General features: G+C 39.9%; 1 protein-coding gene across 12 annotated transcripts in view, besides 3 other annotated features; it reads left to right on the top strand.

Moving 5' to 3' along the window:
• PDE4D (phosphodiesterase 4D) overlaps nucleotides 1-26,068 on the top strand; it is a 1,553,091-nt gene that overhangs the window by 136,637 nt on the left and 1,390,386 nt on the right. Inside the window, exon 1 of one of the 12 annotated variants that reach the window (NM_001364600.2) lies at nucleotides 12,829-12,958. The exons of the other annotated variants lie outside the window; for them this stretch is intronic. The gene's annotated coding sequence lies outside the window, so the exon portion shown is untranslated. Of the gene's footprint in view, nucleotides 1-12,828; nucleotides 12,959-26,068 lie in introns of those variants that run through there. 12 annotated transcript variants of the gene reach the window in all.
• Nucleotides 5,495-5,544: an enhancer, noted in NCBI's record as "active region_22584". NCBI's record gives its function as "activates an Ori minimal core promoter by ATAC-STARR-seq in GM12878 lymphoblastoid cells {active_cell/tissue: GM12878}" and the evidence as "EXISTENCE:reporter gene assay evidence [ECO:0000049][PMID:35858748]".
• Nucleotides 13,885-15,084: an enhancer, noted in NCBI's record as "MED14-independent group 3 enhancer chr5:59666235-59667434 (GRCh37/hg19 assembly coordinates)". NCBI's record gives its function as "activates an origin of replication core promoter dependent on BRD2, BRD4, P300/CBP and CDK7 cofactors, and independent of MED14, by STARR-seq in HCT116 cells {active_cell/tissue: HCT116}" and the evidence as "EXISTENCE:reporter gene assay evidence [ECO:0000049][PMID:35650434]".
• Nucleotides 23,484-23,985: an enhancer, noted in NCBI's record as "NANOG hESC enhancer chr5:59657334-59657835 (GRCh37/hg19 assembly coordinates)". NCBI's record gives its function as "activates a minimal SCP1, AML or CMV promoter by ChIP-STARR-seq in naive H9 embryonic stem cells {active_cell/tissue: H9 hESC(naive)}" and the evidence as "EXISTENCE:reporter gene assay evidence [ECO:0000049][PMID:30033119]".

Here is a 26,068-nt window from a genome sequence, read left to right as displayed (position 1 = left end):
AGCTACAAGTCTCAGAGACTACAAGTTTGCAAGACTGTAATGAGGCAGGCCCAAAGCACCAGAAGTTAACATCCTTGAGAGCATCGCTCAGACAATGATGCATGAATAGCTCAGATTCTTCACCCCTGGTGAGGATGAGTCTGCAGCAGGTTTTGTATAATATCTTGGAGGTTCCCGGTGACATTGAGTCTCACCTGATCACAGCAGTTGTCTGGTCATTTACACACCAGTATTGTTCCTTCCCATACTTGCCATTCTTCCATACCCTCCTACATTTTGCTTCCTGGAATCCCTTCTCGAAAAACTACTCATGCTTAAATTCTTAGCTCAGGCTCTACTTCTGGTGGAATCCAATCTGGGACAGGTTTTTGGCTTGTGGAGGAACAGTGGCAATGAAGGCGGAGTCTGGATGATTTTCATGAGAATGCAAGAGAGAGTGGAAGACTCTGGTTCAATTTAGAAAGCACAGTTCGTTGCAATTATGGCCAAGCTGTATGTATTCTGGGAGACAGGGAAGGACTTTTCGATGATTCAAGGTTTAGGTTTGTTGACTGGTGGGATCCATTAAGCAAAATAAGGAATACAAGAAGAGGAATAGGATTTTTGGTGAAATGTGTGGGATTTGGATTTGATTATGCTGAATTTGAGGTATTTCCATGGACAGTGTAGGCATTGGGGAAGAGGACTAGTTGCGACACCCCAGTTTGGAAGCTGAGCATCAGCCCCTGAGTAGTAGTAGAAGAAGTGGGTGTGGCTGTGGTCACTCAAGCTGAGTGTGGGGATGGGGAGTAGGAAGAACCCAACAGAAACAAACTTCTGGGAGTACCAACCTTTAACAATCAAATAGATGAGGAGGAACTTGCTACAGTGAAGGAGTGATCTGTAGCACCAGGCAAGGGCCAGGGGAGTGATGTCGTAGAAGCCAAGAAAGGAAATCATGTCAGGAGGAGAGAGGAAGCAAACAGAGTCAAAGACTGCAGAGAGGCTTGGCAAGGTCAGACTTCAGGCTCCCATTGGATTTGGAAGTTGAGTGGTCATTGTTTATTTAAGAAGTTCATACTAATTTGGATCAATTAGAAAAGTAGTAGAGATTACCTCCACTTAAGACATTTAGTTTTATTACTTGAAAACTAGGCTAACCAATAATTGCCTAGGACAGGGATTGCTTTAATGAATAGGTAAGAATAATTTCTAATTATAGGGTGGCATGATTTGCGTTACCATACTGAAAAATGCTGCCCCTCTATTTGTATGATTTGTATGAAGTTCAGTACTTGGAAAGCTTCAAGTTTGTTCACCTAATTAGGTAAGGGTTTTTCTTTTAAGCTAGTTGCTGTTTTTTAGTTTCAAGTTGGTCCCTATTTCTGTTTGAATTATCACAGGTTTCAATTTTATGTTGCCAAAAGATAAGATTTAATACCATAGCTGATGCCCCTTTGAATTTTGAATAACAATTCTATTTTCTTTATACTATTTAGTTATTTGTGGTTAAGAATCTGGTCTGTAGAGTTAGACTGCTTAGCTATTACAGTAGCTTCAACACTTACTCTTTAAGATCCCTGGGTAGGTACTGTGCTTCTCTGTGCCTTGATTTCCTCATCTGTAAAATGGAGAGAATACAACTTTTTTTCAGAAGTTAATTCTTAGTACCAAATGAGCTAATTCATATAATGTATTTAAAGGCATTTTAAATGGCACAGAGTAAATGATCAGCACATTTTAGCGTTAGAAATATTTGTTAGTATTTTTTCTATTTATAATTTGTTACTATTACTAAAAACTGGGAGGCAGAATAGTATAAAGTGATAATGATTGAACTATAAAACAGATTAGGGTTCTGCTCTCAAATTTTCCGCCAACTCTCTGAACTGGGACAAGTCCATTCACCTCTCTGAGTTCACATTCTTCACCTATAAAAGAGGGAGGTTAGAATAGAACATCTTTCAAGCCAGCCTTAGTTTTAATATTCTGGGAAGCACACCTTTTGCTTGGAAGTAGCTGATTTACACAGTAGTCTTAGCTGTAGTGTGTTTTCCCCTAAGGGAAAGATAAATGGGCTAAAAGGAGAAATGGAAGGCATTTCCATTAGGCAATTGCTTTCTGGAAAGTACAACTAATGTTTTGGTTGGTTTATTTTCATAGAATTCATTTCTTGGGCTAAAACATAAATCAGTTACTATATTCAGAGGGCTTATCATTTCTTTTTTGAGTATACTTATGGTTGGAAAAATTCCAAGTGTTTTTCATTTTTTTGCCCTGTTTTTTCATACCTTTTACAGAAAAATAATTGTTTTTAGTGCATTCATTTCATTTGCTAATGTTATAATCTGTACAAAACAGCCCACCTAATTATTCTTTTAGATGTTAAACATGACACATGTAAATAAAATGATAATTATAGAATGTGGTGTTTTCTTGTATCTTACATTTTTTAGATCTGAAAATTGGTCCCTGTTCTTATTCTGCATGTACTCCAGTGAAACTTTCCCTTGATGAGTTATTTTTCATGCGCACACATGGGGGAGCTTTTGAGACACTAGTTTGAATGTTACACTTTGAAGACTTTCTCAACAACTTGACCCTAAGATGATGGACTGGAACTCTTCATTGAAGGAAGTGTAGCAGGGTGCAACTGGCTGTAGAACTGACTTCCCTAGCGCTCACTGTCTCATATGCAGCCCTAGAACCAATTCATAAATCTCTTTGAAAGATAGCCATAAACATGTATTCTCTCACACAAAAGAGTAGGGCTAAGAAAATGAAAACGAAAAGTGAAGGCAGATCCAGTATTTTCTAAAACTTCAGTAAGAAGTACCTGAGGTCATAAACTTGGGGGGCTGCCTCTTCCGGTGAAATGGGGGAAGTCAGCCAGAAACTCTGATTTTGACAGCAACATTATTTAAAGGAGTTTCTGAAATGATCAAACATGTTCTTCCATAGAAGAATAAAAGTCTAAAAGCACATGAGAATATTTTTAAAAAATCACCTCTGGAGGAAGCAGAAACAAAAGTGAGTGGCTTGAGTTGAGTCCGATGCTCTTGGTGTCTAGCTCTGTTTGCCATTTAAAGAAAATGCAGAAAAATAGAAATGTGTTAAGTGAAATGAAACCCCATAGGACCTTGACTGACTTTATTGTTATCTTTCTTTTGACCCTAATTTTTGGGGTAGCTAAAACCGCAAATAAACATATAGAAATAGACCTGGTGTTAGCCACATAGATACATGAAGTAGCATCAGGAATGACTGGGGCTTTTCTCTGCCCCAGTTTATTTGGAAATAACTCCAAACTATTTCATATATAAATATATATATATTTCAATGCTTATCATAATTACATCTGAATATTTTGCTCATAAGACAAACTTCTAAATGCCCTTAAAATGAGGCTTCAATGAGGAAATAAATACAGCTGATTTTAAAATGTTATTTAGTATCAAGAAAAAACTCTTTAGCAAATATTTCCTGTGAAAAGTATACAGTATAACTAGCTTAATATATAAAATTAAACAGAATCTTTCATGATGAATTGAAAATAGGTAAAATTTGTTTTCCTTCTCATTGTTTTTTCATATGTAGACAGCCAAGTTTCATCCTTCACAGTTTGTGTTCAACTCCTTGCTGTTTTTTTCTCTAATCTTTTCCTCAGTGCCTTATTCATTCTCATGGTTTTAACCATTAACTATATTCCCATTCTGGGCTTTCATCACAGATTCCAGTTGTACATTTTCTATTGCCCATTGGATGTTCCTACCTGGATATGGAAGTCAAATTGAATGTCAGCTACCAAATTTACCTTCCATCCTCCACTTGCTTCCTCGGCTTCTTTCTTTACCCACCCTCCCAGCTCACCAGTTCCTTCTGACTTTCCCGTATCTGTTCACTAAACTACCATTTTCTGAATCACCTGGCCTTGGAAATTTGGTGTCATCTTTGACATTAACCTGTCTCATGTACACTACTGTATCAGGGGTTCCCAAGGCCACCCTCAGACTTGCTAAAAGGATGCATGGGACTCAGAAAAGTTGTTATAGTCACAATTATGTTTTACTTAGTGAAAGAATACAGACTAAAATCTGAAAAGCAAAAGATATGTGGGGAAAAGTCCAGGAGAAATTAGGTGCAAGCTTCTAAAAGTTTTTTTCCAGTAGAATTGCACAGATGCACTTAATTCTGCAAGCAATACCGTGTGACATATGCAAAGTGTTGTCAACCAGGGAAACACTTGAGCTTTGATGTTTTTAATGGAGGCCAGCCACATAGTCATGCAGCACCTGTATGACTTACCTCAGCTACTCAGACTTCAGCTCCTCAGAGAAGGAACAGGCAGCCATCATGCATCACATTGTTAGCATAAACTATCTGATCAAACTGGTACCACATGCTCCAAGGCCTGAGGCATACAACACTCTTACCAGGCAGAATATACCTGTGGCTCAAGGCTTACTCTCAGGAGCTGGCCTAAGTTCAGTCTTGAAGAGAGGTTTTTCTTGGGCATGTGCAGGGCTTGAGCCACCTAGATTTGCTGAGTTAATCTTACTACACATGCACGAAAAATCACCAAGCTTTGTTGGTTACTGGGAAAATTCAGAGCACATACTGTGGTGTTAGATATGTGTTTGAGTTCTGCCTTTGAGACGATTAAATGAGATGTGATTAACATACTGCTGGACACATAAATACTAAGTGATGTCGATTTCTCGTTGTTGTGATTTTTATTATCTCTGCCCTTTTCTATCCAATATCACTTCTTATGTTTAGCCTAAGACCTTATTGTGTTCACCTTCAAGGTGCACTAGCTTCCCATATCAGTGAACTTAGGATGTTACGCTGCGCTAACAAACAATCTCCAAATTGGTATCACTTGCTAAAACAAGAGAGTTATTTCTTGATGCTGCCGTTTGTCTATTATGAGTTGACTGCAGCTCTGCTCCAAAGTATAATCATTCTGGGACCCCGACTGAAGGAACAGCCCTGATCGGGACATTGGGGCAAAAAGAAAAGAGCGTATTATAGAACCATAAAATGGCTCTTAAAATTTTGCTTGAAAGTGGTGCATATACTATGTATTCCCATTTTATTGTCTAAAGTAAGTGACACATCCCAGCCTGAGGTTATTGGATTAGGGATGTATACTATTCCCTTGGAATGTTTGAGCAGTAATATAATCTATCAACTTCCTAGCTAGCCTCTGTGTTAAATGATCATTAGAGTATCTAAAGAGGCTGGAAGCAGAGAGGCCAGCTAGGATACACTAATCTATCCTGCTGACCATCACTAAGTTCACATCCTCAAAGTTCAGTGTTGACAAACCATTTCTGTTCTCTATAACTGCCGTATCATGGTCTTCTCTTGATTAGTCACGTAAGCTCATTTTTAAGCTCAATCACCCATGACTTTCCTATACGCAAGTGAAACCATAAAATTAACCAGCATCGGGCACATTTTATCTTAGCACCTTTTATACCTTTGCTCATACTTTCACTGAGATTGAGGGCTCTTTTTTGAAGATAGTTACCATTTCATTCACCTTTGAATTCTCCAGAGCCCAGGTACCTTACCTGTGGTCATGGCTGAAACATGTAATCAATTAATGTAAGAAGAAGTATTGTCCCAGTGTTTCAAAGAAATCCAGGTGCTATTCAATGACAGTGAGACGTCAGGCCAAGGGGGTGAAGGGAGGCTGAAACCCAGTCCATGCTTTGCTCACAAGCCAAGTCCTGAGATGGGATGAGGAGAAAGAGGTGTCTTTTTCTAATCTCATTAAAGCACTGAGTAGTGTGGTGGGGGCTTTTCTTCTGGGGTTTTGTTTACTAAAAGACTTCCTACAAAGAACCTGTAGGCCCCACAAAGATCATATGCATGGACATTATTGTAGGGCAGCAGGAGAAAAATGCTATTTTGGTTCTGCTTTCTAGAAATTTTCAAGTGCTGGGCTACCAAGTCAACTAGCTCCTCTGCATCCTTTAGATGTCTGTGGCTGAGGACAGCTTCATGAGATTGGGTCCTCAGAGCTGCTTTGCACTTCCCAAGAATAGACCTGTGGACCATGTCCTTTTTGTCCACCCAAGTTTTATTTATTTTTGGGACAGCACCTCTTTTACCAGAGAAAGTAACTCTTGCGGCTAAAAATATACCGGAAATAAGAATGAAGAAAAGTAACTGGATCAGCTATACTTGGTAAAAATACCTAAAGCTCTGTTTCATGAAAGTGTTTCTAAAAATAAAAACTAGTCCCTGGCAATGCAGCAAATAGCCAAAACGACTTCTTTGGTTGATTGGTTTTAATGTTTTTTTTTTTTTCTTTTCCTGGTTACAGTTTTAAAAACTGCTCCACAAGAAATTTCTTCCAAATTCAGTGCCAATAGGGAGCATTGCCTATTAGCAGGCACACAATAGTTAAGAGCAGAAAGGCATGCAATAGGGCTTTGATTGTCCAAGGCAGGGTAACCATGTATGTAGGACCTTTATTGCTGCCTGGGAGGTGCTTCAGTGTGGGGAGTAAATGCTCAGTCAAATTTGGCATAACAGCTTTAAAGCAAGTGGAACCACTGTGCATGTTGTCAGCAACATACTGCTTTCTTTCTTTCTTTCTTTCTCTCTCTCTCTCTCTTTCTTTCTTTCTTTTTCTTTTTAGTTTTTGAGTCGGAGTGTCGCTCTGTCGCCCAGGCTGGAGTGCAGTGGTGCTCTCTAGGCTCACTGCAATCTCTGCCTTCCGGGTTCAAGTGATTCTCCTGCCTCAGCCTCCTGAGTAGCTGGGATTACAGATGGGCACCACCATGCCCTGGCTAATTTTTGTATTTTTAGTAGAGATGGGGTTTCACCATGTTGGTCAGGCTGGTCTTGAACTCCTGACATCGTGATCCACCCACCTTGGCCTCCCAAAGTGCTGGGATTACAGGTATGAGCCACCATGCCTGGCCCTTTTTTTTCTTTTAAAAGTATTTTACTTATGTTTCTATTTTGTGTCAAGGGGGCTGGTTCCTAGATTACTGAGGGAATAAGCCAAACAGAGCAAAATTTGTGTCACTCATATTAAGGTATTAATTTCAGCACTAATGAGATGTTGAAAAACATGGCAAAGGTGATTAGAGGATATTGAACGAAGGTAAATTAAGTAGGTAAACTTGGATCCTTATGTTCGGAATCCTGGTATTAGGAGTAGAGTATGGAGCTAATTGCACTGTGGTTGGAAAGGGTTTTAAATTATAGAGAAGATGAAGTTTGATCAACCCAACATGTGTCCCCTTTACTAGTGGGAAGACACAAGGGCATTCATGTCACCATGAAATATTCTTATTAATTTATTGAAATACCAGTGTATTTGTGGCATTTTGGGATTACTATCATTACCATAACAGAACTGTTCTTGCTTCATATTTATGCGCTCCAAGATTGCTCTAAAATTCCTTCATATCCAACTGGGCAATTATGATTCACCCATTGGACAAAACAATATAGTTCTATTCTAGCACTCAAAGGATGTAGTCATCACTTCCAAGAGTGAGCAGACTTTCTGGAGCCAGGTCAGAAAGAGACATTAATGTTGTCTTCATTTAAATACTATGTGTAGAAAAGACCTATGTATTTCCCATTGAGAAGATGGATCATCTTTTTCAGGAATTGTTTTTCATCTGTAGTCTCATCAGATCCTGTTAATATATTTTACTTTGCCTTTGCTTTTTTTTCCATTTGAATATATCTTTTTCTCCTTTCAGCATGATGAAACGTCATTTAATTATAAATTTTTGTCTTCAAGACCTCCCTTTAAGCCTTTAACGGGGAGTAATATAATGACTACTGGTAGGTACAGTCAGTCAGTCAGTTACCTCTGGGATCATTCTTTGCAGTTCTTGGCTCTTGGTTTCTGTAGGAGTTGGCAGGTAGATGCCAAATTTTCTGTCTGAGTGGTCACTCATGAGATCTTTGACTAAACTCATGGATTGTTTCTTATCGAGGCCTGAGTTGGCCCTGTTGTCTGTTTTGGCTAATAAACAATATTTGGTCAGAATTTGAAGCTGATAGCTTTCTCTCAATGTTCTAAATAGATTCTATTCCTTTAAAGTGGTTAAAGTAGAACAATCCTTCAATCCCTTGATCTGATTTATGGCAGTAGTAATAAAGAGGATTGTTACCCCAAATGGGCCAGTTGTTTATGCTTGTTTATTCATTTATTCTGGAATGTTTGAGTGTCCACGATATGCTGACTCTGTGCTAGATACTGGGGGTTCAGTAGTGAGGTCCAAGTCAGATATAGTCTTTGTCCTCATAGTGTGTAAAATAGTGAAATCTAATGGGGAATACAGAAATAGGCAGTGACAATAAACTGTATTGTGAGGAATGCTATAGGCGAGAAGCACAGTGAGCTCACAGGAGGCACATGGACAATATTTGGTTGCCTGTGTTTACCAGGAAGTGTGCTAAAAGCTGAGTTTACAGTTAACTAACAAAATAGACACTGTCCTTGCCATCGTGAAACTTACTATTGGTGAAAGTCAGTGTTGACTGAATAATTACATACATGCATACGTACGATGTTGCTATAAAGGAAAACACAAGTTGTGATGAAAGGCTCTATCAAGGGTTCCAATTTAGACTGAGTGTTGAAGGACCATGGATCAGAGGTTGAGACATTTAGGCTGAGACTTATCATTTGGAGATAGTCAACAAAGAGGCGGAAGAGAAAGTTTCCAGGTGGAAAGAACATCACTTGCTAAGGCCTGGGACAAGTGGGAATGGGAGAATGTATTGAGCAGAATGTTTGCTATGGTTATGTCATTGTGTGCAGTGAGGGGTAGAGGCAGAGGGAAGGACCAGAGATGCCGATGAAGAGTGACCAGGATCACATCACCAGAGCCTATTCAACCACAGGCAAGTGTCTTGACTTTACCTGGAGGGGAATGGAAGAGCTACTGAGTGTTTTAAACATGAAGGACATATGAGCAGATTGATATCTTTGGAAATTCGCTGTGGCTTCTGTAGTAGATTGAAGTGTGGGATGCGTTAGGAGGCCTGGAGACTAGGGAGTAGGAGGCTGTTACAGGAACCCCGGCTAAACAGTTCACTATAGAGTAATGCTGGGAGTGTGAGCTCTGGGGCCACAATGTTTGGGCTTAGTCTTACCTGTGTCACTCAATAGCTGGGAAGCTCTGAGCCATTACTTTTCTTCTCTGGCCTTTGTTTTTTGCTTCTGTTAAATAAGGATGATGATAACAATGATGCTTATCTCATAGGGTTGCTGTGGGTTTATCACCATTTAGTGCTCAGAGCAGTTTGTGGCCCATTCTGGGACTCTGATATTCATAACTATAAGATAATAAATTTGTATTGCTTCAAGTTACTAAATTGGTGACAATTTGTTAAGCAGCAATAAGAAACTAATACAGGACTTTCTGACGAGGCCTGACAGTTGTAAGCTGTAAAAATCTGGGAATCAGGAGATATATATACGTATGTTTAGATGGAGTCTTGCTTTGTCACCAGGCTGGAGTGCAGTGGCGCGATCTCAGCTCACTGCAACCTCCGCCTCCCAGGTTCAAGTGATTCTCCTGCCTCAGCCTCCCAAGTAGCTGGGACTACAGGCGCGTACCACCACACCCAGCTAATTGTTGTATTTTTAGTAGAGATGAGGTTTCACCATGTTGGCCAGGATGGTCTCAATCTCTTGACCTCATGATCTGCCCACCTTAGCCTCCCAAAGTGCTGGGATTACAGGCATGAGCCACCATGCCCAGCTGGTAGTATATTATAAAAGAAATGATATTAGATACACTGTATTTTGTGTAGCCTGTGCCCTCCAAAAATGCTCATGGTTGAGGGGCCAGTACAGGTAGGAACTGGCTTTCACTGATAAGCCCTGTGCCTAGGGAAGAGACTCCTTTTGTAATTTATCCATGTAAAAGGGGCATCTTTTTCAAATTTACACATAGTCACTTTGGGTAGCTAATGGCAGCCCTGCCTGGCACAAATTAAGTACTCAATAAATGATATCTGTTACTAACTGTTGTATGTGAAAATTACTGAACCTTTCTATGCCCATTTTCTTATCTGTAAAATAATGATCCCTACATAATAAAATTGGTTATAAGAATTATATTAATATATGCAAAACACTTAAAATAGTGCCTGGTACAAATAAGGCATGCCAAAAAGACAAATAGGGGTAGGGAGCATTCATTCATTCAACAATGTTTGAGAGCCAGCTATGCAGAAGCACAGGGCTGTAGCTGGGGAGAAAGAGACAGATATGTCCCTGTCCTCATAGGGTAAACAAAAATTTACCCTGATAATGATTTAAAGCTGTGATGTGTTATAAAAATGAATTCTAGGAAATGTAGACAATGAGGAATATTTGAGAAAGTTTAGAAGTAGAAAGAACAAGACTCTGATTAAAGAAGCTGATTCCAGAAAGATTGGAAAGGTTTCAAGAAGGAGGGCAAGGTTGGCCATGTTGCCCACCTTCAGAGCTAGAACCAGATTACCTAGCTAACTTTGTCTATGACTTAAGAAATGAACTGGGATAGAAATTAAAACATGCAATAATATATTTAGCATTTATTTGTTGCACTGTAAAATTCCCTAAAGGTTATAAAGAAAAAAAATATACGTATACATATATATGTATATGTGCATATTTCACCGATTTTTAAGCATATTATATAACATGAAAGATTTCTTACTTAAAATTATGAAGTAGCAAATGAAGTCTGGATCCTAGCTCATTACAGATATTTCAGGATTGGATTTAATTTATCATCTTTTTTCCCTTTTGAACTGGGAACAATGCCCTGATGATCTATTTGGAGAAGAGATATGATAGTATCTTACGTGACCTGTGCTTGCTCTATTCTGTTTGCTGTTTCCTGTTTAATTCTGATGGTGTTGTGGATAAGTGAGATGACCTTCCCTGGAGCAATTTATGAAAGCACTGTTGAATAGAGAACAGAACATGGTGGAATATTCATGGGCGACTTCAGTAGTTCAGGATTACTCTCAGACCGAATTATTCTTCGGAGCTTTGCTGAGGGCTTAGAGTACCCTAGGCAATATAAACGTTTCTTTGATATGCTCCTCAGTATTTCTTCTTTTTAAAGAATCCCCAAGAGGATTTGCACCTGAAACTGTAGCTAGTGCCATTCTTTTTTGCTCTCCTTTTTCTCCTCCCTTCTTTCTAACAATTCAAAATGTTGATGGTGTTTTTTTGGGGGGAGAGAGATGGCAAAAAGTGTCCATTGGAATTTATAGGCATGTAGGAGAAAACTGCTTTCCCATACAACATTATGATGCCAACACTCAGTTGTCATTTTGGGGGATTGTTTTTGAACTGAAGGAAAATGTGTAGCAGCACTATTGGATAAATCAGCAATCCTGGCTCACCTGTATCTTTCAAGGAAAGGAAGGCTTGGTGACAGTGTTGAGGGCTGTGGTAGTCACAATAACAGCCACTCAAAAATGTCTCTGGAACCCATGAATATATTTTGACAAGGGGGGAATAAGTTCATCAATCAACTGAATATGAGATGGGGAGATTACCCTGGATTATCTGGGTGGGCCCAGTGTAATCACAAGGGTCCTCAAGATGGAAGAATGAGGCAATAGAGTAAGTGTCAGAGTGACGCAGCATGAGAAAGTCAAGCATCACCCAGTCATTGCTGGCTTTGAAGACAGAGGAAGGGGCCATGAGCCAAGGAATAAGGACGGCCCTTGGAAGCCAGAAAAAGCAGGAAAATAGATTCTCCTCTGGAGCCTCCCAGAAACTAATGCAGCCCTGTTGATTAGGCCAAAAAGATCCCTTCTTGGCCTCTGATATCCATAACTGTAAGATCATAAATTTCTATTCTTTTCTCACTAGGTTTTCCATTAGGTAGTTACAATAGCAACAGGAAACCAATATAGGAGCTTTCTGAAGAGCCTGACAGTTGTAAGCTGTAAGAATCTGGAGATCAGGTAGTCTATATTTGTAAAATAAGTGATATTAAACATTTTAGAAGTGGTTTGCAACTCTCAGGCAAGTCATCATTGAGTTCAATAAGACTCTAGAGAAAGAGGTAGCAACTAAACATAATAGAAAACCCATCAAGGTCTATACACGTAGAGTAAATGAAGGAGACTAGCCTGGTTGGAAGAGAATAGAGGGGCAGGGGAGTGTGGCTGACCAGAGAGTACATGGCCAGCTCCTCATGGTGATTGTTGCCGTGAGGAAATGTGACCACTTTTGCTAGATCTAGTTTTTTCAAAAGATGCCCGCATTTTGAAATGTAATGTAAATTATCCTAATATTTAACTCTAGACAATTTAAGTAAAAACCAACAACCAACCAAATGAACCTCAACACAGGACGGGTATGGCCCGTGGGCCACCAGTCTGAGACAGCTAATCTAGAATTGCAGTCAGCCGGAGTGACTTGTATTTTCACGGTTCTGAGTGTAACACCCACAGTTCCACTTTAGAGTTGAAGAAACTGACGTAGGGGAGTTAATAATTGAGCTAGTCAATGGTAAACATAAGGTTTCAAATTGCGGTGTGTCTGATTGTGAACGCCAAGTTTTTTTCCATCTCACTGCCTCTAAGGCAAAGGAGGAGATTAATAATGGAGAGATAAAAGGAGAAATGGAAGGAAAGAGTTTAATATTTACTAAGCACAAAATATCTACCAGGCATTGAACCAGGGATTTTAAGCACATTATCCTTTAAGTCTCACAACAATTTTAAGAGGTAAGAAATATTCTAATTTTCCAGGGAAGAAACCTGAGTCCGGGAGAGGTCAAGTAACTTGTACTTGGTCACACAGAGAGTACGTGTCAAAGGAAACTCAAAAGAACACATTTTCTCAGTGATTACAGGTTTTAGAGAAGAGGAACAATGCTTCCTCTGAGCCTGAAGAAAAGAATGAAATAAGGGCTGCAAGGGAACATGCAGGTTTCACACTACAGGAGCTTGTCTGTCTTGGTGCAAGTGGGAGGTAAGGCTATCTGGTAAGCTTAAGAATAGTTTATAAGGGGGAAGCAGGTGTCAGACTGGATATTGCAGGAGAAAAGAGGCTGCCACCAGGGTGACCTGTACAGGAGATGGAGACATGATTTGGAATCAATTGGTGGACCATTGAGAAAGGCCAACAGACAGGAAGGCTTTGAGTGGAAAGAATGTACAGACCCTTGCTTCTTTCCTCAGCATTCCTTGCAGGTGGTAACCAGAGAGGAGCTGAGTGCCAGGACTGGCCATTGGCTTGGTAAAAGTTGAAACCTTAAGAAAGCAGGGTGGCTCAACTTCATTAGCCAGCAGGAAATGCAAATGAAATCTACAGTACCACATCAATACCATCTGACATCCATCAGGATGGCTAAAATAAAAAAGACTGACAATGCTGTGTGTTGTGAGACGGTGGGGCAGCTGGTATGCTCCTAGACTGCTGGTGAGAGTGTAAATGGGTAGATTCAGTATCTATGAAAACCATTTTCAGTATCTACGAAGGCTGAACCTATGTAATATCCTATAGCCTAGCAATTCCGTTTTTATAGTCCAGTGGAAATGTGTACATTTCTGTACTGAAAGACATATGCATATAGTAGCATTATTTATAATGGTGAAAAATGCAAACAACTCACTAATGTTTGGTGTACTGACAAAATGAAACACGCAGTAGCAATAAAGAAGAATGAGCTTCAATACATACAATATGGATGAATCTAAAAAATAAAATGTTGATCAAAGCATCCAGATACAAAAGAGTGCATGCCATGATTTCATTTACATAAAGCTTAGAATCAGAGCTCTGGTGTTAGAAGTCAGAATGGTGGTTATATTTCAGGGGAGAAGGTGCCTGAGATAGAACATAAGTGGGCTTCTAGGGTCCTGCAATGTTCTAATTTTTTAAATTTTATTACCTGACTGTGTTCACTTTGTGAAAATCCACTGCCTTTATGATTTGTGTACTTTCTGTGCATATATTATATTTCAATAGAGAATTAAGATAAAAAAATATAAGGCCCAGGTTGGAGTCTAGGATTGTGACAGGGCAGTGTTGAAATTGTTGACAAGTGCAGCTAGGAAAAAAAGGCTGAGTTGTTTAATGCATCTCCGATTATATTGGGTAAAGGGAGCTGGGGGAAATTAGGGACACAACGATGGTGACAGGAGAAAGAGAATCACCACATGGCGGACTGAACGGGGAGCAGCATCTTGCTGTGACAAAGTCCACCATGTACCTGTCATGGGAATGATGATACAATATTACATCAGCTGCATGGCTATATCTAATCCTGTTTCAGAAGACGTCAGCAAAGGCCATTCGCGTAGTGCAACCTGGGAAGGAGTTGGTTGTTTAAGGTGGATACAGAGTAGATCCTGATAGCTCACTTCTTGACCTTGTTTAATTTTTGCCTGTTAGTTCAGCACTAGAACTCTGTACAAAAAAATTTAAGGCTGCAATATCATTTTAATCAAATCATATGCAATGAAAACAAAGCTTTTGCTAGAGTTGTGAGCTCACATATGGTTTCTCCTGGTTTGTGGTCTCCTAGGGAGAGAAATGCAGCAGGTTGATGATAATGTGAACAGCTAAGTTCCCTGGGTGGCTTTAAAGGGAAAGGGACAATTCACTCATTTTGTGTATTTACTAAAATCGCCTTCTCTCTCTCAGTTTCTCTCTCCTTCCCTCTCTCTCTCTCATTTTCTCTCTCCCTCCCTCTCTCTTACACACAAGTGGGCATGCACGCACGCACACACACACACACACATATACACAAAACTAGATTTGGGATCCTTGTTTTAGTAATGACTAATCACTATCTGGGTATCTTGGTTAAAATAGAAAGGCCATTTGTCTCATGAATCAAAGGTTAAAAAATGTTCTTAAAGGATTAATTTCCAAAATTGCTTTCAAATAGCGTGGCTGACCAGCTTTTAGCAGTCATCGTTAATGAGAATGATGGAAAATTAAGGTCAGGTTTGCATTTTCTTTCTTCTTATTACTTCCTTCTCTTCTAGGTTGATTTGTATTCTTGCCTTTCCTTATATATTGCTTATCTTCCCACAAATTTCATGAAGATAATTTTTAAGTAAGTTTCATTTCTAATTTTTCCTTAGTTCCAGAGATTCTGTTGAATGTAGTCGATGATATGTTGTTACAACACCTCTAATGAATTATAAATAGTCCATTATATAGCGCATACCAAAGAGACCTTCTGATTGAACATGCAAGTTGGGGCCTTTTAAGAACGAAAGGGGGTGCTATGAACACCAGGGCAATGGCTGTGAACCAGCACTACTTGGGCAAACTGGGATGTATGGGTACTCTACCCAGAGGCCTCTGGGGCAGGAGCTGGCCTTGTGAAGGCTCTGTCCTGTTAGGGGAGCTGCTTTCTGGCCTAGCCACTCTGGACTGAGTAAATTCACAGGTGTTCACTCAGCTAGGTTTTCTCTCTGTGATAAATCCTGCAGGGGTTCTCTAATTTAGGACTTTACAGAGGCACTAATTGAAAAAAAATGAAACTAATGCTAGGAATGCTCATGATAAGGCCTAATTACAAATGACATCTGTGGATACTACATGAAAGGTTTTGGATATGATTTACCAGTTCTTTCTTACTAAGAGTCTGGTTAAAAACTCATGAATGAATATCACTCACAGAATGACCTCGATTCACGTCTGGTCTGATTTTTTTTTGTGTGTGCATGTTGACTTCTCATGTGAGCTTTGTTCCTGCAGACCCCACACTTAGTCTTATATGGTCTTCGTCCTACTCTGCCTTGTTCTGGGGTGTGGCTTTCATATGTTGGGGTCTTATGAATAGAAGCAGACAAGCCTCAATCTCATTAAACACAAGGTTTTTGTTGGTTTTTCTAAAGGCAAGGTAAGGAAGTCCCTATGACATGGACCATGGTGCGCATGCTCCTCGTGGCTTGTCCCTGGGCCTGGCTCATGAGGTTTCACTCCCACTCAACCCCTGTCTGCATCCCGCCTCTCTCTGCCTTGGTGCTCTGGTCAGTTGACTCACTGTTCTGTCCTGTGCACTCTGTTCCTAGCTGTGGGAGTTATTGGGTATTGAAGAGGCTTAATGCCTGCCTCATCTTTCTGTGGGTTCTGAACCCATGGGGAAATAAAGACGTGGAAGTCAGAAGAGGATCAAAATGTCCTCTCTGCTAATGGTACCCCTTGTTCTGGTGGCGGTTTCCCTGGGCTGCCCACCATTCCCCTCTGTGCTGAACTCACCTCTTCAGTCACAAACAAAGCAGCAGCACCTGCCCTGGTGGCTTCAAACAAGGAGGACAGAAAAACATCTGTGCTGTCAGGCTGGTGGCCAGAGTGGAGGGAGAGTGGAAAAGGGGAGGAAGACAGGTAAGAAGAGAAAAAAAAAGGCATAGAAAGCAGGAGAGGAGAGAGGAAGACAGACAGGGTGAGGGAGAGTGGGGTTCAAACAAGCAGAACACAGAGGAGAGAAGGAGTGGGACAGCAAGAAACTGAGAGAGGCTGCCAGCACCATGGCTGGGTTATGGGTGTGTAATGAAATATTTGAAATATTAGTCCATTCTCACACTGCTATAAAGACATACCTGAGACAGGGTATTTTATTAAGAAAAGAGGTTTAATTGGCTCATGGTTCTGCGGGCTGTCCAGGCTTCTGCTTCTGGGGAGGCCTCAGGAAACTTACAATCATAGTGGAAGGCAAGGGGAAGCAGGCACATCTTCACTTGGATGGAGCAGGAAGAAGAGAGAGAGAAGGGGGAGCTGGTACACACTTTCAACAACCAAGTCTTCTGAGAAGTCTATCACGAGAACTGCAAGGGGGACATCCCGCCCCCATGATGCAATCACATTCCACCAGGCCCCTCCTCTAACACTGGGGATTACAATTCAACATGAGATTTGGGTGGGGACATAGAGCCAAACCGTATCAGAATTTTCTCAAGGATCAAATAATTCCCTCTTCTGGCCCTCACGGAAAATGAATGAATGCTAGAGCAAAGGAAAGCACTGCTTTCTCAATACCAACAGGTGTTGATGGTAATTCCTGTTTCATGCATTAAAGCAAAATGTGGCCAGAGGGAGAAAAGGGTCCCCCTAACCCCCACATCCTGCCAACCTCCCTGCCCCAGAACACAGGTCACGATATTCCCAGTGAAACTTAATATCGTGACTGCCAGAATGTTACTATTCAGCCATTTCATGCACAGTGCCCTAGGGGTTGCAATGGCATTCCTAGACAACTGCAATGCCTTTCTAACATTGTTGCTGAGGAATGTGAAGCCACATCGTTGTTACCTGTAAACTGCAGAACACAAGCCTTCTGTCTGCAGGAGGAGGGTACGACTTTTCCTATTTTAAATAAAGAAAACTTATCGTTGTTATTTTATAAAATGGGTAAGTTTATGAGCATAATGGAGATCTGTTCTTTGAAATATTTGCAGCTTGGACAAAACCAGGGAATTGTAGAGCATCAAAAACATTTCAATGAATCACAATAAATCTCCTTCTCCATAATGCTTCTTTCATATTCACTGTCTATAAGATCTGAAAAAGAACGCTCAGTAATGACGTACAGAATGTGCTTTCTCTGGAGAGGGCAGGGCAGAACAGGACAGGTCAGGGCTGGACAGGACAGGCAGCTATTTCAGTCCAAGGGGAAGCAGGGGATCATGTTAGAGTCTGGGGACTTAGCCCTGGTGATTCCTCCAAAAGAGTCATAGGAGCACTTGAGCTGTGTCCTTCTGATGGGCTCAGAAAAAATTAATTTAGTATTCAGTGCTTATTCTTCAGATTCAAATAGTACAGAAGACTATAATGACAAGCATACTGAGCCAGGGCATCAGGACTCCCACTGGAAGGCCCAGAGTAGCCAGGTCCCAGCAGGAGGGAGAAACATGAAATTGAACTGTGAGATAGGACAGGAGAAATTTCAGATTAGTATGACTGGGCAGCTTGTGGAAACTCATATTCTATTAAGGAGTAGGAAAGATGACCTAGTTTGGGCTATTAGGATGAAAAAAAAGAAAAGAAAATGTTTTTTCAAAGTTTCCATTTGGTGTATAATTTTTTTTTTTTTTTGATATGGAGTTTCGCTCTTGTTGTCCACGCTGGAGTGCAATGGCGTGATCTCAGCTCACTGCAACCTCCACCTCCTCCTGGGTTCAAGTGATTCTCCTGCCTCAGTCTCCTGAGTAGCTGGGATTACAGGCATGCACCACCATGCCTGGCTAATTTTGTATTTTTAGTAGAGATGGGGTTTCTACATGTTGGTCAGGCTGGTCTCGAACTCCTGACTCCAGGTGATCTGCCCACCTCGCCCTCCCAAAGTGCTGAGATTACAGGCATGAGCCACCATGCCTGGCCGTTGTAGAAATTTTATTGACAAAAAATTCTTCTTGTAAATTGCTTTTTATCTCCCAACAACAACAAAAAAAAATTGGTTCTCCAAAGAGACTGTGTATCCACCCACCCGGAAGGCATGTTCACCAGGACAGAGTGATCTCAAAGATTAGGATGAGTGGTTGGAGCTTGGATTTAATTTTCTCCTCTCTTGGTCTGGTGTGACACTCACTTATTTCCCTTTTTCAAAAGTTCTAGAATCTGTTTCATTTAAGAGATTAAAAAACAAGTAACTGATAAAAAAATTCAGATATTCATGCCCTTTTAATCTCTTGACTTGCCAGGTAAATCTCCTGGTTGAATTTCATGTGCATGTTTATTTCATTTGCATGAAGTTTAAATTCTCCCAGGGCTGTACGGCTGCAACTATTTTTGCAGATTCTTCACTGCACAAGTTGGCTGGGCTGCAGGGGGTGAGTAAGTGCAGAACGGCAGCCACACTTGGCTTGGCCAAGCCATGCAGTGTGATGTGAGTCTGTGCCAGCCCAGAGGGAGGGATATCTTTTTCTCTTTCACACAAAGGGCTAGTAAGTGGCCTTGATTGCCACTAAGGTTCATTGACATCATGGCTACCCTGAGATGTGCCTGGTACAGTGCTTCATGCACATTGTTATCTGGTAAATGCTTTTGATGATGGTCCTACATATATTTCAATTCAGTGGGAACATTATATGTGTTTTACTTAGGGAGAACTTCACCCCAAGTGCCTTATGCTTGAAACAATAGTGGTGTTTTAGCCTTTGAAGACACTTGGTGTATGATCTGACTTTCTTCTTCTCTTGATCTTTGGGGCAGTTATACTTGAGGGTAAATAGGCCTCAAATTGCTTGGTGTCCTACAAATAAACATAAAGAGCTTAGCTTAGATATAAAAACCCTGAGAAATGGGGAAAAAAAGCATGCTATCTGCACAAACAAGGGGAAAGGCAGTAGGCAGGAACAGGATGGAAGTCCATGGAAGATGCTGTGATTCCTTTCCTGCTCAGCTCCTCAAGTCCTGGTTCTTGTTTTGTTGAAGAACAAGCAGAAATAGTGGGATTTGGGATTTAGAGTTCTGGAAATGGCCAGATTTTTTTTTTTTTTTTTTTGAGACAGAGTCTTACTCTGTCACCCAGGCTGGAGCATAGGGGCATGATCTTGGCTCACTGCAACCTCTGCCTCCTGGGTTAAAGCAATTCTCCTGCCTCAGCCTCCCGAGTAGCTGGGATTATAGGCATGTGCCATCATGCACGAATAATTTTTGTATTTTTAGTAGAGATGGGGTTTCACCATGTTGGCCAGGCTGGTCTCTAACTCCTGAACTCAGGTAACCCACCCGCCTCAGCCTCCCAAAATGCTGAGATTACGGGGGTGAGCCACCACGCCTGGCCGAAATGGCCAGATTCTTAGATGGCCTGAACTATGTAAGTCTGTTGTTTGATTTGGTTAATCTGAGGAATACAAAGTTCAAGAAATGTTGTAATCTCAGCGCCCTTGGTACAAGAGTGCCTGCTCTAAGCCTTTGCTGTTCAGGGAAACTTGATAATTTAGGTGTGATATATTTATCTATCTATTGATTCATCCATCCATCTATTTATCTGTGCTATTTCTTTAGTACCAAAAAAGGCTTGCTTGCACAGGTTGGGCAGGTGTTGTAAATGAATGATGCAGAGAGAGATTTAAAAAACCGTAAGGAGTGGTAGGGACTTGACAAATAGAGTATTTCCCTATTTATAGGGAGTGGCCACTGTCAATCTTGGGATTCTTGTCTTGCAGAAAGGCAAACATGCAGCTTTAGGGGGGTCCATATCTTCTGACATTTCAAAAGGAGCTGGAAATCAAGATGTGAAATCAGATTATTTAATATTGACAATTAATTCAAATGTTTGTGCTAACATTGCAAGACTTCTCCTCATGTTGTTGCATGCCAAGATGGAGAAAATATGTTGGGCACGTTAGGTATTTATGTGTCAGTTTGTGACCTCTGCTCTGGTATATAAGTTTGCCCTTAGAAATATGTTCCTGTATTATTTTAAAGTTGAGTGGGAAGCTTCTCTACTTTTAATGAGTTTTAAAGGAGAGATGTCATCTACTTATCCCTCTATCATTTGGAGGATAGGCTAGTTATGTCACTTGGATTATACAAATAAACATTGTTGTGGGTTATTTAAAAAAAATTTATTTTCTGAAGCGAGTCTATCAAGGTTTTTAAAATGTGGTTCTTCATGGACTTCCAAGGAGGTTTAGGATTGGCAGTGAAAAGAAAGAGAAGAATGGGAAGGACACTTACATTTCTGCTTCTTGGGATAGAGGTAATCTGTATATTTTGGTTTTAAAAACAGATATTTAATCTTTTAGGCACATTAATCTACATTTCTAAGAAGAAATAGGAAACTTCTTGATAGAAATGCCACCTGTTTTAACGACTAAGCACCAATGGCACTCTGCCAAGTTGAAAACAAATCTAGGTAAATTTAAATTGGGCTGGCATTTCACAGAACTGGTGCAAGCATGGTTCATAAAGTTTATTTTTTTGCTTGAGAAAAAAATGACATTTTACTGATTCTGTGTAAGAAAACCTTTAAGTTTTTATCAAAGACTATTAAGATCAGAATTCAATATTTTATGATAGTATTTAATATTTTACAATGTATTAATTTACAATTAAATAAGTTATTTAATACAAATAACTTAATATTTTACAATAGAGTTGATTATTTTTCTAATGCTTTCCTAAAGAAATTCTGTAAAGATCCACATAATTGCTAGACCAGTGATAAAGCATGTAATTTCCCCTATCTTCAATTTTTCCTTACTGTCTACCCTCTAAAGTAGTTGACAATGATCTTCTGATAGATCCTGGCTTGGGTAATACATTACACTGGCAGAGTAAGAATTCAGAAAATAGCTCAACAGGATCCCTCAGTTTGGCTGGTCTTTCTGAAAAGACAAGTGTGAGCAGCCTGAGGAGAACCTGGAACTCAGGTATTCTCTGTTTCAAACTCAGGAAGGCCTGGGTGAATTCCTGGTAGAGCTGGTAGAACTAGCTTTCTATTATGAATATTGAGAAGTTTGACCAATTTTATCAGGCTTCTGGAGTGATATTTGCATAGTTACAACTTAATATCACTTTTCTACTTAACACTCACCAGTAACTTCCACCTACTTGGGCCAGCCCATGTAGTTCAAGGTAAAGATCTTGGATTTTATTCCACATAAGGTAAAGATCTTGAGCTACAAGATCTTGAACTACTGAAGCTCTTGAATTACACGGGCTGGCCTCTGCCTTTCTCTCCAACATCATCTCCAGTGACACTGGCCTTCTTTCTCTTCTTCAAATAGACTAAGCTCTTTCTCACTTCAAGCTCTTTGTTGAACCTGCTAGTCCCTGTTTCTATATGGCTCTTTCTCCAGATCATTGGCTTCTTTTCATTTGGGTCTCAAGTCAAATATGACCTTCTTAGAGAGGTCTCCTCTGGTGATGCCACTTCTCCTATCACAGTATCCCATCACTCTGTTTTATTTTCTTCATAGCCCTTATTTGAACTTATCTTACTTATTATTTGCCTCTCATTAAAATGTAAGCCTTGTGAAAGCAGTACCTTCTCTGTTGTACTTTATTGCTATATTTTCAGAATCAAGGACAGTATCTGGCATGAAGTGAGTGCTCAAAAGTATTTGTTAGATGGACGAATTACAATTTGCCCACATTCAGTGGCTTTACTTGTAATCTGTTTGACTCTTGATTGGTATGTAATTTTATTATATGGAAGGGATGGAAAGAATAGGGTTCGAGGGTAGTGAGGAAATAGTAAAAGATGGTACTGTTGGAATTAGCTACATGATTTGAGCAGCAAATTCCAAGTACGGCCTTAAAACAGAAAAAGAAGCAAATATATACTACTTGAAAGTCAGACTGTATGATAATCTAATGGTAGATATAGTTATATAAATCATACACACTCAAAGCTTTACCTCTATAATTCTGATAAGAATGGGAAGGCTGATGACATTTTTGCAGACCATTAAATAAATGTAGTGAACTTCTAGTTTGCTTTGAGCCTATCTGCATGGCTGATAAATGCTTTTCCAATAGAAAGAAGGGAAAACATGCATTCAAGGTGATAAGCAACCGGTGATAAGCACAGCTAGAGACAGTTTTTAAACCCTGAAACTCTGTGGTTACTCATATAATTGTTTATAAGTGGCTCATTGGGAACCAAGGTAAACAGAATTAATCTTTTAAACATCAAACAGAAATAAAATAATATTTCTTTTTTTTTTTTTTTCTTGAGATGGAGTCTTGTTCTTCACCCAGGGGGCTGGAGTGCAGTGGCATGATCTCAGCTCACTGCAACTTTCACTTCCCAGGTTCAAGCGATTCTTCTGCCTCAGCCTCCTGAGTAGCTGGGACTACAAATGCCTGCCGCCATACCTGGCTAATTTTTGTATTTTTAGTAGAGATGGAGTTTTGCCATGTTGGCCCAGGCTGGTCTCAAACTCCTGACCTTAGGTGATCCACCCACCTCAGTCTCCCAAAGTGCTGGGATTACAGGCGTGAGCCACTGTGCCTAGCCAGAAATAAAATAATATTTCTTATCTGTACCCTAAGACATGTTGGACAGGAGATGTCCCATGAAGCTGATGAAATTTTAACTAATGCAGTAAATAATCCATTGAGATTTAATCCTCATCAATCATCATCCTTATTGTTACCATGTGGCAGAAAAATGTGAAATTCTGTTAAATGCTTCATCTTGATGGAAAAATATGAAATCCTTGTAAATAAAGCTTGAAATTCTCAGGTTCCCAAAAGATGACTCATCTGACCTTCTACTCATCTTTTTAAGACATGAAACAAAAGAAAGCAAATGGGTTTCTGTGGCCAAAAGAATTTCATCAACACCAGTCCATGGGAACAGATCAGACATAGGGAAGGTGGGTCTCATGACACTTTTTGGTTTATTTCACATCTCTTGAGCAGAGCTCTCAGTATAATCTCCTCAACAAGAATGTGTATTGCATTTCTGTAGGACATAAATTGCCTTCTCTCCTCACTATTCCCAGCACTGATTACAAGCTTCAGCAGAAAGCAGAGTTTTAAATTCTTGTGGAATTAATAAATAGATAAGAGTAAAGGTATTTAGGGGGAGACAAGGACATAGCCTGTAATTTAGGTGAGCAAAATCAGTAACTGTGAGTCTGGGCTGTGACATGGTCCTGGCTCACTATTATTTTTTTACAAGTTTTAGGATCTTGGCGTTTTATTTGCTTTATCAATTACTGTGGACTAAGATGTGCGACTGTGATGTGGATTAAACAACAACAATTTATTTCTTGCTCATGCTGTCTGTCCATTGTGGGTCAGCTGAGTGCTCTGTTCATTCTTGTCACTCAGGCATGGGTTGATGGAGCATCCACCATCTCAAACGTTGTTAATTACCATGCTTGGGAAGAAAGGAAACTCTAAAGGATGTTACCCCAGGTGGTTAAATAAGCTCATGTAGAAATGGAATGTGACACTTCAACTCAAAACTCATTGAACAGAACTCAGTGTGCCTGGCCCCACCAAAACCATCCACAAGGGAGGGCAGAAAGTCTAATTGTGAACAGAACTAATGATATTTACTTAGTATTTGTCTGCTTGATTTTTGGCACAGACTGATTTATTAGAGTGGAGAAGGTAAGCTGATTATCAAAGAATGTCTTATTTTCCTCATGTAGTTACCATTGATTTATTGAATCATGATTTCATTCTTTAATATATTTTGCATCAATGATTGATTAATTTTCACAGCTACATCAAGTAACTAATTATTGATTTACTAATCAATTATTAAATTCTACAAATTAAATAATATTACAAACTAAATTCAATCCTTGAATGTATCCAACATTTATTGGGAACCAGTCCATGGGAACAGATCAGACATAGGGAAGGTGGGTCTCATGTGCTTGATCATCTACTATGTGCTTGATCACTATGCTAGATACTACATTGTATGGCTTTGCTGAATTATTGTTAAGTCTTCACTCACTTAGCTGAGCTCAGAAATGAATACATCTCAATGCATGCAGAGAAGGTTCTTATTGAGGCTTACTCACTTTGTAGGGTGTTGGTGGCGTTTGAGATTGTGTTTTCAAAGTGCTTAGCACTGGCGATAGTGATGTTCATAATGATGTTGCAAGTTGACTAGGATTTGATAGTTCATTTCCTAAAATAATTTTTATTCAACTAATAATTCAAGTAAACACTGCTCACTTGATGATTAGTCGTGGAGTGAAGACTGCGTTGTGAAGCTCACCATTCATTCTCTAACAGTGGTCTCCTGAGTTGGGACACTTACATAGGATTTATTTCTGATGATAACAAGAGCACAGATGCCAACCATGCATGTGATAGTTTCTGGGAGAAGACTTGATGATTCAGCACTGTCCCTATAAAATGACAAAAGAAGACCCACATATAGCATTAGGTATGGATGAAGGTACTTAAATTTAAGCTTAATTAGGTGTAAATCCTTAACTCCTATATTCTACTCTCTGGTGCTTTGAAGTTGGCCTCTTCGGTCTCCAGCCACAGAAGGGATTTTCTTCGCTGACCACAGTTCCCCACGTTTTCCCTTCAGTAAATAGCAGATGTGTGTGGTGGTAAGCTGGTTTTCTGCCATTGCTGTGTGAAAAGGCAGATATTCTGAATGAGGATTGTAAGTTATTTTTGTGTTACACATTCTTCTTTAGCTTTTTTCAAAAGCAATTGCATTTTAGTTGAATGTGAAAATTTACTCTTGATGATTTTCTCAGATTAATGCTGTCATCATGTTAATGGGGTAATGCTTCCTTCTGCAAAGATCTTGGAATTTAGGGCTTCTGGTCAGTGTTTTACAGCTTTGTCTGAGAAAGAATGTAATATGAGTATGTTTTTGGTACATGACTTCAAAAAGCCAAGTCTGCTTTGCCTGATTTTTGTGTGAGCAATCCCACCTGTCTGATCTCACCCCTGCTCCCAGGTCACAGATAGAGGAGACCTTGTGCCCTAGCAACAAATCACATCCACTTTAGCTCTATGGGGACATTTCAACAACAAGGTTCTTGTTGGGGCTTACCCACTTTGTAGGGTATTGGCGGTGTTCGAGATTGTGTTTTCAAAGTGCTTAGCACTGGCACAGTGCTGCAACTTGCAGCATAATTATGAAATACCTTAACAAAAGGTATTTACAAAAGCATGAGAGGATGAATGTGAGGAAGGAGCATGTCATGTTGGGTAAGAAAATATGGCACTAGAAACATGGGAGAAGGCGTGTGTTTTGTGGGGGTAGATGGATAAGAAAGAGAACAGGTGGATCAGACACCAATTTACCAAATGATTCCATAATATTAGTGCACAGATAATGCACAGATAGTGTGCAACAACAGCTTTGGGAAAGGCAAACTGACTGTCTATAAAGGTCAGAAGACATTTTATAAGATGTGTTTTACTGAAAGTGTTGTCCTTGTGAAGAGGTTTTGAGCAAATATTTTAAGAAGTCTTTAGGGAACAAGCAATTTTCCTTTTTGTTGCCCTTTCTAAGAATAAGACATAAATAGGAAGTTCCATCCTTTTATTTGTTCTATTCAAATATTTATAGGGGAAAATCGGCTACTACTTCTTTATAAGACCCACCTTTGAAACTCATTATTTTTCCAAGGTGCCTTGTTCTTATAACAATATTTTCTTCTATGTTTGTTT

This window comes from Homo sapiens, chromosome 5, assembly GCF_000001405.40.
Source record: "Homo sapiens chromosome 5, GRCh38.p14 Primary Assembly".
NCBI lineage: Eukaryota > Metazoa > Chordata > Mammalia > Primates > Hominidae > Homo > Homo sapiens.
Note: the sequence above shows the minus strand (reverse complement) of the source record. Positions and strands in the feature narration are given on the sequence as shown.